Source organism: Homo sapiens, chromosome 12, assembly GCF_000001405.40.
Source record: "Homo sapiens chromosome 12, GRCh38.p14 Primary Assembly".
Classification (NCBI taxonomy): domain Eukaryota; kingdom Metazoa; phylum Chordata; class Mammalia; order Primates; family Hominidae; genus Homo; species Homo sapiens.
In genome coordinates this window covers 738899-751252 of record NC_000012.12, presented here as the reverse complement: position 1 = coordinate 751252, position 12354 = coordinate 738899, and the positions used below count along the sequence as shown (strand labels likewise).

The following is a 12354-nucleotide window of genomic DNA, read 5'->3' as shown; positions in this document are numbered from 1 at the left end:
GAGGACCACGCTGCGAGCGAGCAGCTAGCAAGGAACTCGGCAGGAGGTTCCTTAGCACAGTTATCGGATGAGCTCCACCTACAGAAGTCTTGCCCTGCAGTTCATGTTAATTCATCTGATACGTAAAATACTTAACCCTATTTTTCTTTTCTTTCTTTTTTTGTTGTTTATCACAAGCTACACTTTCAAGTTTACAAAAATGTTTTAAACCAATGATCGTTAGGTTTCATGAAGCTGACAGGTTACGAACATTTTAAAATGCCGATTCAGCAGGGACAACTAGAGTACTAAAATATTAGTGTTCCATTGCTTTAGAAAATGTATCTTTCATTCGTTTGCTATTGGTAATGGTAAATAATCTCATTATGGCAAATGGAATTAAGAGTGTTTTTCTAACCGTAAACCTAATGTAAGCAAGGGAAGAAATGGCTGTAAAATACATTTTTATTGTACTTTTGAGTAAAATAAAACTTACCCAATTGTTGCTTCACTAGGAAAAATAGTCTGATTTTAAACATAAGGCAGCTAATTACAAATTGGCAAGTTAAAAGAAGATCAGTAAATCACAATGTTCCCTTTTGGCACCATGAAAAAATTAGGATATTTTTGTGTGAGTGGTTGTTAAAGGATTTTATTATTGCCTGTTCCTGTTTACTGAGCCCTGAAACTTTGGCCACACTGCATTGGACACAAGTCCCTTGATAATCACCATGCCCTATCAACATGTCTTTTCAACCAGGAACAACTAAATTCATTGTAAGTAATTTAATTAACTGTTGACTTAAAACCACACTTGCCTAGGAGACAGCTTTTCCCACTTGTGTAATATTAGCTTTACAATGAAAACAGATACAATTTTAAGTTGAATATAATCTTATTATGTACAATGATTAGATTTAAAGGTTATATTATTTAGTGTGCGTATTTTACTAACAAACACTTTTTTGCTCAGTTTTTGTTTTGTTTTGTTTTGTTTTGAGAGAGGCTCACTCTGTCGCCCAGGCTGCAGTACAGTGGCTTGATCCCAGCTCACTCAGTTCTTTTTAATGCTTACCAACCTACCTCCAAGTAAATGGTATTTTCTGTTACTCATTACTATAATTCCTAATAGTACTTTTCCTTTCTCTGTCACTTCAATTATCCAGTAAAGAATCAACCTCTCTATGTTCCATATAAAACATCAAGTGACTGTAAACAGAGATAACAAAGAACCCAGGATACAATGAATGCACTAAGCTCAGAGGTTTGACTTCCTTACATTTGGTTCCACAAGAAGAATACAAGTATGTTATTCTGTCTCACCATGTCTCTATTCTCTCTAGTTCTTGTTCATGTTCTCACATTGATTGATTCATGTTTCTTTCTATTCCCTTCCATTCACATTTTTTTGTTTACATGGTTTCTGCCATTGGTAACTAGCTAGCAATGAAAGTCAGAGACACCTTTGATTTAGACAGTGGCTGAAATATCCTAAACACACAAAATCTACCTTACTTTGAATGTGGCAAAATATTGATACATAAAGTTGCTTCTTGAAGTGTAGGGGAAAAATTGTCCCACCTTAAGAGCATTTCTCTTTTTTTTTTTTTGTCTCCTTTCCCTCATTTTCCCATGCTCCTTTGTCTTGCCTATGGGTAATTTTTATTTTACCTCTTTGTCGTCTGGAACCCTGTCATCTGGAAGTAGGAAGTGAGAATCAGGCAGATAAACAATGAAGAATAGTTTTTTAAGAACTTTATATTATAAATGAAATAAAGGGGGTGGGATTTTCCCTATATCAAAGTATATTATAAAACCATAAAATTAAATCTATATGGTATTGAGATAAGCATAGGCAATGGAACAGAAGAGAGAGTACAGAAACAGTCTCATGTATGTATGGGAATTTCATATAGAAAATGGCATTTGAAGTCAGTAGGGCAAAATAATAAACAGTGCTTGGACAATTAGTTATTCATTTGAAAAATAAATGAGGTCAGTGTTTACTTCAGACTGTTCACAAAATTAATTTCCACATAAATTGAAGAACCAAACTTTTAAAAAATATCTCTAAATAATTTTTTAAATGTAGGAGAACATAGGGTACTAAAGGGCTTCAAAGAGCAATCCAAGAGCCACAAAGGAAAATATTTGACAATATCAAAATTGATAATCTATTCAACAAAACACAAGTGACAAACTGCCAGAAAAACTCTGGAGACTGTATAACAAAAGATTAATATCCAAAAGATATGGGGGGAAAAAAACCCTCTTAAATCACTGAGAAAAAGGCAAACCACTGTATAGAAAAGGAGGATATGAAAAGATAATTTACAAAGCAGTAAATGCCATGGTGGCTTACACCTGTAATCCCAGCACTTTGGGAGCCTAAGTGGGAGGATCACTTGAGGTCAGGAGCTCGAGACCAGCCTGGCCAACATGGTGAAACCCCGTCTTTACTAAAAATACAAAAATTAGCCGGGCATGGTGGTGCGCGCCTATAGTCCCAGCTACCCGGGAGGCTGAGGCACGAGAATCGCTTCAACTCAGGAGGTGGAAGTTGCAGTGAGCCGAGATTGAACCATTGCACTGCAGCCTGGGCAACAAAGCGAGACTGTGTCTCAGAAAAAAAAATAAAATAAAATAAAGCAGTAAATGCAAATAACAAAAATAGACATGAAAAAGATGCTGAAACTCAGTAACTAGCAAAATGCAGATTAAAATATAATATTTTCTCTCATAAAATTGAAAAATTATCTTTTTTTGAGACAGAGTCTCATTCTGTTGTCCAGGCTGGAGTGCAGTGGTGCAATCACAGCTCACTGTAGCCTCATACTTCTAGGCTCAAGCCTGCCGAGTAGCTGGGACCACAGGTGTGCACCACCATGTCCAGCTAATTTTTAAATTTTTTGTAGAGATGAAGTCTCACTATGTTACCTTGGCTGGTCTGAACTCCCTGGACTTAAGCAGTTCTCCTATTTCAGCCTCCCAACGTGCTAGGATTGCAGGCGTGAACCACCACGCCTGGTCTAAATTGAGCAAAAAAAAAAAAAAAAAAAAATTTTTTTTTTTTTTTTTTAGTGTCCCCATCATGGCAATTTGCAAAATTTTTAGGGATTCATAATATCAAGTGTTGGCGAGGATGTGGAGAAACGTGCTGTTAATGATACGGTAAATTGGTACAAGCTTTTTTGAGGGCAATTTGTTAGCAATTATTAAAACGTACAATGTGCATCGTCTTTTTCTTTCTTTTTGGTACCTACCTTGGAAAAATACTTGCACGTGTTTCCTAAGAAATATCTATAAGAGGGTGGGTGCTCACGCCTGTAATCCCAACACTTTGGGAGGCCGAGGCGGGTGGATCACAAGGTCAGGAGTTCGAGACCAGTCTGGCCAACATGGTGAAACCCCGTCTCTACTAAAAATACAAAAAATTAGCCGGGTGTGGTGGTGTGTGCCTGTAACCTCAGCTACTCGGGAGGCTAAGGCAGGAGGATCACGTGAACCGGGAGGTGGAGGTTGCAATGAGCCGAGATTGTGCCACTACACTCCAGCCCAGGCAACAGTGCAAGACTCCATCTCAAAAAAAAAAAAAAAGGAAAGAAATATCTATAAGAATATTCACTATAGCCAGGTGCAGTGGTGTGTGCTTGTAGTCCTAGCTACTTGGGAGGTTGAGGTGGGAGGATTACTTGAGCCCAGGAGGTCGAGGCTGCAGTGAGCTATGATCACGCCACTGCACTCCAATCTGAGTGACAGAGCAAGACCCTGTCTCTAAAAAACAAAAACAAAACATAAAACCTTTCACTATGGCTTTATTTGTAACAAAAAATCCAAATGATCTGCATGTTCATCAATAAGAAAATAGCTAAACTATGGTATTTCCAGTTTGGGGTACACCATGCAACAGTAGGAAAAAAGGAGGGAAATATGTATGTGGTGCCATAACTATTAAGTGAAAGGCTCAAGTTTCAGAATAATATGCACTATATCACATCTTGTATTTTTTTAAAAAATTCTGTTTCTGTGTGTATTTAAAGGCATGCAGAAAAAGTCTAGGTAGTACACACCAAAATGAAAAGGAGAATTACTTCTGGGGAATACTCAGATCTTTTTTGTTGTTTCTTTTTTGAGACGGAGTCTCACTCTGTCGCCCAGGCTGGAGTGCAGTGGTGCAATCTTGGCTCACTGCAACCTCTGCCTCCCGGGTTCAAGTGATTCTCCTGCCTCAGCCTCCCAAGAAGCTGGGACTCCAGGCACACGCCACCATGCCCGGCTTATTTTTCTTTTTAGTAGTGGTGGGGTTTCACCATGTTGGCCAGCCGTGAGCCACGGTGCCCAGCTGAATACTCATCTCTTTATTTTGTGAATTTCTTAACACATTGTCACTCGTTGCAGATAATTTGAACGTTACAGAATAAAGTATGGAAGAAAGTGAAAATTACCAGAAAATCTACCCAGCCATAGATAGCAACCTTTAATATGTAGGCGTATTTCTTTCCAGACAGATAAAAATTTTATAATTATGTCGTAAGCTTTTCCAGTGTATTACATACTCTCTGGAAACATCGTTCTTTAATAGCTGCACAGTATGTCACCATAAGACATTACCAAGTATAAGTTTTTCACATTATCTGGAAAGAACATAGGGGGAAATATTTAAAATGTCCCAGGCTTTAACATGCTCTCACAGGAAAAGATTTATCAGAATCACCTAGGAAGCTTTTACAAAATACACCTGTTGGACTGTTTCACCACTACTCCTCATCCAACCTAGATATATTTTTTGGTGAGAGAATTCATTGCAAGCAGACCTGCATTGCAATAATTTTTTTAAAGGAAAGTATTAGTATATTAGTAAAAGGAGTAGTAAATTAGGATTTAAACAAGGAATGAAAATACCAGAAAAAAAATATGTTGGAAAATATAAAAGCCCAGAAAATAAAAAAGAAAATAAATAAAAGAAAACATAAAAGGCACTTTATTAGTCATGTTAAAAGGTAAATGATGGTTTCAAGCAAACGTAAAAACAAGGTATAATATGCATTATAATATATGAAGAAGTAAGCGGGACATGGAGGCTCATGCCTGTAATCCTAACACTTTGGGAGGCCGAGGTGTGAGCATCACTTGATGCCAGGAGTTTAAGACCAGCCTGGGCAACATAGTGAGACCCTGTCTCTAAAAAACAAAAAATATTTTTAAAGTAAATAAAATTTTAAAAAAATAATATATATAGAAGTAAATGTATAATGGTTATAGCATAAGGGACAGGAGGAGGAAATGGAAGAATAATGTTATTAGGGTCTTATACTATATATGAAATGTCATAATATTATTTGAAGGTAAACTATAATAATTTCAAGTTACATATTGGAAAGACTGAAGCAATCACTAAAATTATCAAATACAGAGGTATAGGTAATAAACCAGTAGTAGGGGTAAAATTGAACCATTAAAAAATGCTTAAATAAGGGGCCAGGCGTGGTGGCTCACGCCTGTAATCCCAGCACTTTGGGAGGCCAAGGTGGGTGGATCACAAGGTCAGGAGTTTGAGACCATCCTGCCGAACATGGTGAAACCCCGTCTCTACTAAAAATACAAAAAAATTAGCTGGGCGTAGTGGTGGGCGCCTGTAGCCCCAGCTACTCGGAAGGCTGAGGCAGGAGAATGGCGTGAACCCGGGCCGGGAGGCGGAGCTTGCAGTGAGCGGAGATGGCGCCACTGCATTCCAGCCTGGGCGACAGAGCGGGACTCTGTCTCAAAAAACAAAAAAAAAAAAAACTTAAATAATTCAGAAGAAGGCAGAAAAAGAACAAAAAGAGAGCGAATGAAATGACTAGAAAACAGACCAACAAGAGGATTTTAGTTCAACCACACTGACAATTATGTTAAAATTATATGGTTTAATCTCTTTTAAACTCTCCAATTCAAAGGAAGACATTAAAAGATTGGATAAAAAACAACACCATACTACATGCTGCCTATGAAAAAAAACTTTAAAGATTAAGACACAGATTAAAAGGATGAAAAAATATATACCAAGAAAACACCAATCAAAATAAAACAAGAGTGGCTATATTAATACAAAACAAGGACTATTAACAGAGATAGAAAGGGATCTCTCATAATTACGAAGAGGTCAATTCCTCAAGAAGACATTTCAATTCTAAATAAGGGTTAAAACTATAACACTTCTAGAAGAAAACAGGTGAAAATCTTTGTGATTCTGGGTTAAGCAAAGAATTTTTTTTTCTTTTTTTTTTTGAGACGGAGTCTCACTCTGTCACCAGGCTGGAGTGCAGTGGCACAATCTTGGCTCGCTGCAACCTCCACGTCCCAGGTTCAAGTGATTCTCCTGCCTCAGCCTCCCAAGTAGCTGGGACTACAGATGCGTGCCACCACGCCCAGCTAATTTTTGTATTTTTAGTAGAGACAGGGTTTCACCCTGTTGGCCAGGATGGTCTTGATCTCTTGACCTCGTGATCTGCCACCTCCGCCTCCCAAAGTGTTGGGATTACAGGTGTGAGCCACCACACCTGGCCTAAGCAAAGAATTTTTAGGTCTGGCTGCAGCGGCTCACATCTGTGATCCCAACACTTTAGGAGCCTAGGAAGATTACTTGAGACCGGGAGTTCAAGACCAGCTTGGGCAAAATAGCAAAACCCTGTCTCTACAGAAAATAAAAATAAAAGACTTTTTAGGACACAAAAAGCACAAACCATAAAAGAAAAAATTGTTAAACTGGACTTCATCAAAATTGGAAGTTCGTGTTCTTTTTTGTTTGGTTTGTTTTTTACAGAGTAGAGACAAGGTCTTCCTGTGTTACCTAGGCTGGTCTCAAACTCCTGGGCTCAAGGAATCTTCCTGCCTCAGCCTCCCAAAGTGCTGGGATTACAGGTGTGAACCACCGTGCCCAGCCAGAAATGTTTGTTCTTTAAAGATGATATTACAAAAATGAAAGGGCCACAGACTGGGAGTCAATATTGCAAAACAAATATCTGAAAAAATATTTGTAAACAGAATATATAGGAAACTCTTACAATTCAACCTTAAGATAATAGTACAGTAAAAATGTGTGCAAAAGATTTGAACAGATACTTCACCAAACAATATAAATGAAAGGATAAATAGGCACATGAAAAGATGTACATCATTAGTCATTAAGGAAGTGAAAATTAAAATTACCATGAAATATCACCACATACCCACGAAAATGACTAAAATTAAAAATGGTTGGTGAGGATGTAGAGCAACTAGTTTCTCATACGTTGCTACCGGGAGTACAGTGGTTCAGCCAGTTTGGGAAATAGCTTGACTCTCTAATAATTAAAGTTGAACATATACTTACCACATGATCTAGCAATTCCACTGCCAGATATTTAACCCAAGAGAAATGGAAACATGTCCACACAAAGACTTGCATGGAAAATTTCATAACAATTTTACTCATGATAGCCAAAAACTAGAAACAAACCGAATATCTATCAACTGGTGAACAGGCAAGTAAATTGTGTTGTGCCCTTATGATGGAATGCTACTCAGCAATAAAAATAAACGAAGTGGTATGTGCAATCATATGGATAACTCCCAAAGCATGATGCTAAATGAAAGAAGCCAGACACAGAAGTCTACTGATTTCATTTATGTGGCCATGTAGAAAACCCAAAACTGGCGGCAGAATGATCAGTTCTGGGGTTAGAGGGGGAGGAAATGAACTGCAGAGGAGCGCAGAGAACTTTTTGAGTCACGAGAATGTTTTCTGTCTTAATTTTGGTGATGGTTACATGACTGTATTCATTCAAAACTCATTAAGTGGGTGATTATACTTTTTTTTTTAAGGACAGGGTCTTGCTCTGTTGCCCAGGCTAGAGTGCTGTGGTGCAATCATAGCTCATCACAGCCTCAAATTCCTGGGCTCAAGGGATCCTCAGGCCTCAGCCTCCTGAGTAGCTGGGACTACAGATGCACACCACCATGCCAAGCTAATTTTTTTTTTTTCGTAGAGACGGGGATCTTGCTATGTTAATGATTATCCCAACTTGGTCTCCCAAAGTGCTGGGATTACAGGTGTGAGCCACCGCACCTGGCCCTGACTATACTTTAAATGGGCAATTTTTTATTGTATATAAGTTATTCTTCAAGAAATCAGATTTTTAAAATGATATTTAGTTGTGCCAAAATTATTGAAACATAATATTGAATTATTGAATACTCTATAAAGCATCCTATTCTGCTTACAAACTATTTGTCTCAATACCCAAGAGATATGAAACCTACCTGAAAAGTCTACATACACTCTATGGTAAAAATGAAAAAATGATATTACTAATTCAGTTTGAAAAACCTTTAAGCAATGGTCATTTTCATCCATTTCGATGGTTGGGAGGGATAGGGATAGCTATCAAGACAGATATTGAAAAGATTCTGAACATAATGTTCACCTGAGTACCTCCTTACCAGTAAATAGAAGGACAAGCTTCCCAACTCCTTATGATCTCTAAGAGTTTGCTTACATTATTTAGTCATTTATGATCAAGGCACATTCTGTATGCTACTTATATATTCATAATTTGACATTCAGTGATAATTTTTTGAATCTTTTTTTTTTTGAGACGGAGTCTTGCCCTGTCGCCCAGCCTAGAGTGCAATGGCGCAATCTCAGCTCACTGCAACCTCCGCCACCCAGGTTCAAGCAACTCTCCTGCCTCAGCTTCCCGAGTAGCTGGGATTACAGGCACCTACCACCACGCCTGGCCGATTTTTGTATTTTTAGTAGAAATGGGGTTTCACCATGCTGGCCAGTCTGGTCTCGAACTCCCGACCTCAGGTGATCTGCCCACCTCGGCCTTCCAAAGTGCTGGGATTACAGGCGTTAGCCACCGCGCCCAGCCAATTTTCTGAATCTTAAGATAATTTTACTGAACATACTTTGCTTAATTAACCTCTACAGTCAGGTTAATTCTGTAACCAAAAAGAGTATTTAGCAAATTCAACAACAGCAATAATATTATCATCTTCCAGCGTCTGCCTGTGTTTGGACCAATTGAAGATATGGTAAATTGACTCCCTTAGAATAGCTGGGAATTAGGAAAAGAGTGCCAAACTCTATAGCAGGTAATACTTCTCAGTAGATAGAAGTATACATTCTCTTAAGACAGTAATAATACTCTTTAAATAGTAGTCTCGGCCAGGTGCAGTGGCTCACACCTGTAATCCCAGCACTTTGGGAGGCCAAGGTGAGTGAATCACCTGAGCTCAGGAGTTCGAGACCAGCCTGGCCAACATGGCAAAACCCTGTCTCTACTAAAAATACAAAAATTTGCTGGGCGTGGTGGCATGCACCTGTAATCCCAGCTACTTGGGAGGCTGAGGCGGGAGAAGTGCTTGAACCCGGGAGGCGGAGTTTGCAGTGAGCTGAGATTGTGACACTGCACTCCAGTCTGGGCGACAGAGCAAGACTCCTTCTAAATAATAATAATAATAATAATAATAATCACAAAGCTCATGAAATTATACCAGGAAACAATAGGGGAAGAAGATGAAGAAAAGGAACCTGGGCCACTGAAGTCCGTAGTGAATGAGATCTTAGCAAGCTGACCTTCCCAGAGCTGAGCCCTTCGTTGAACTGAATTAATAAGTTGGCATTCTATTTCAGAGTGGCAAGTTACCTCAACCTACTCCCTTTGGAACCCACTTCCTGTGAAGTTTCTTACTTGGAAAATCCTGAAATGATTATTTATTTCACCCTCCTGTGTTTTCCCTTCCCCACCCTTCCTAAGATACTTTGAAATGTCTTTTGCATGCGTATCTAGATGAGGTTCCCACTGGAGAAGAAGCATGTTGAATTTCACATCTTGTAGGCTATGCAATTCTCACTCTTCAATAAGGGTGCTAAGCAATAATTATAGTCATGATGATAAAGGGGCCAGGCTATGGGTATGCATGTGTACAAGGAAACTAGATATGAATGTGGGGCTTCCTAGAGAAAAACAAGGTAGTGTGGCCTCATAGTTTAGTACAGGTAGGGAGTAGCTTCTCAAATTAGACCCTGTCAGCTGCCAGGCTGATTTCAGCTCTCTATCTATGCATCTCTACAGCTCTCACCACGGAGCTTTGACAGAGGTATTACCTTATGACAGGATAGGACTGGGGGATCTTATCACTTGTCTCTGCCTATAACAAGCCAAGACAGGTTGGAGTGTGGATTGGCTTCCAAAAAGAATCAGGACACCAGGGCTAGGTCTTGATTAGAAAAATAAAGTCTGTCGGGCTGTCTTTGCCCACAGGTAGTCATTAGAAGGACGCCTCGAGGGCGGAACACCAGCTGGAAGAGCAATGTGAAGCCCCGTAAAGACTTAGCCCTTATTGCCACATCTATTCTGATTCAGTTTTTGAAATGGAAAAAACAGTGTTACCTCTGTAGACACCTGTGATACATGGCCACCCCCTAAAGATAGATGACATTCCAAAATAGATTTCCTAAGAGATTTTCAAGTGCACAGATCCTCTCAAGAAGCATCTTCTAATCATCGAGTTACATGAATGAAAATCTGTGTAGCAGCTTGTTGAAAAACTTGTCAGCTAACCGGGAGGATCATTGTTGACATTCCTACATATTTCCACAATCAGATGTAAGCTGGCTGAGAATAAGGTCTATGCCTCACACTTACTTGTGTCCTCTCTAAGAAGGCCTTGGGCACAGCAGGTGTTGATTAACTACGTGATTGACTTAAAATGTTTAATTTTGTGCAGCCGGGCGCGGTGGCTCACGCCTGTAATCCCAGCACTTTGGGAGGCCGAGGTGGGCAGATCACAAGGTCAGGAGATCGAGACCATCCTGGCTAACACGGTGAAACACTGTCTCCACTTAAAAAAATACAAAAAATTAGCCGGGCATGGTGGCGGGCGCCTGTAGTCCCAGCTACTCGGGAGGCTGAGGCAGGAGAATGGTGTGAACCCGGGAGGCGGAGCTTGCGGTGAGCCAAGATCGAGCCACTGCACTCCAGCCTGGTGACAGAGCGAGATGCTGTCTCAAAAAATAAAATTTAATTTTGTGTATCCAAGCCCACCCTCACACACATTCATGCACACTTACACACACACACACACACACACACACACACACACACAGAACAAACTAGGTTTTTTAATGAAATGTGTTCATCATAACAGTAAAAGATATACTTTTATTTATTTTTATTGAGATGGAGTTTCGCTCTTGTTGCCCAGGCTGGAGTGCAATGGCCTGATCTCGGCTCACCACAACCTCCGCTTCCCGGGTTCAATCGATTCTCCTGCCTCAGACTCCCGAGTAGCTGGGATTACAGGCATGTGCCACCACACCTGGCTAATTTTTGTATTTTTAGTAGAGACGAGGTTTCCCCCATGTTGGTCAGGTTCGTCTCGAACTCCTGACCTCAGGTGATCCACCCACCTCGGCCTCCCAAAGTGCTGGGATTACAGGTGTGAGCCACCATGTCTGGCCAAAGACACACACTTAAAAATTATATTATCTCTTCAAAGGCCAGAAAATCATGATGTTTCACTTTTTAAAGGCCAGGTGTGGTGGCTCATGCCTGTAATCCCAGAACTTTGGGAGGCTGAGGTGGGTGGATCATTTGAGGCCAGGAATTCGAGACCAGCCTGGCCAACACAGTGACACCACTTCTCTATTGAAAATACAAAAATCAGCCGATGTGGTTGCGCGCCTGTAGTCAGTTACTCAGTAACGGAGGGAGGAGAGTCGCTTGAACCCTGAACCCGGGAGGCAGAGGTAGCAGTGAGTCGAGATTGTGCCACTGTGGTCCAGCCTGGGCAACAGAGCTAGACTCTGTCTCAAAACAAAAGAAGAAAAAATAAAGGTTTTAAAAAATTATTACTATAATTATTTAAATACTAAATATAAGATATAGAGCTTCGTATTCATTACTTCTCCATCCCAGCTTGACTAACCCATTCATCCAATCTCCTCTAGCTCAATCTCGCATTCATTCCTTCTTTGCAAAATTCGGTTTCTCTCTCCACTCTAATATTAATGATACTCTGTTTTATAAGAAGACCATTTCAAAGCTTATGCAATCTGATCATCTTGTACATTTTAATTACATGTAGAACATACATAATTGGACTGAATATAATCACTAGAGCATTGTGGTGAGGAGTGAGGGGAAGACCAAAATGAATTCCTTAACGAGCTTTGTGTTCGAGGCTTTTCACTCTCACTGTTTAGAGGCTCTGTAATGAGCCCAGTTAGAAATAGTCCAGTAAGGAGGAGGGATGACCTGCCAGTCTGTGTTGTTTTCAATCACATTAAGGCCCTCAAAGTAATTTTTTTTTTCCATGACCACTGAGAATAACAAGAGTTGACAATGG

General features: G+C 39.9%; 1 annotated feature.

Moving 5' to 3' along the window:
* Positions 7778 to 7897: an enhancer, noted in NCBI's record as "active region_5788". NCBI's record gives its function as "activates an Ori minimal core promoter by ATAC-STARR-seq in GM12878 lymphoblastoid cells {active_cell/tissue: GM12878}" and the evidence as "EXISTENCE:reporter gene assay evidence [ECO:0000049][PMID:35858748]".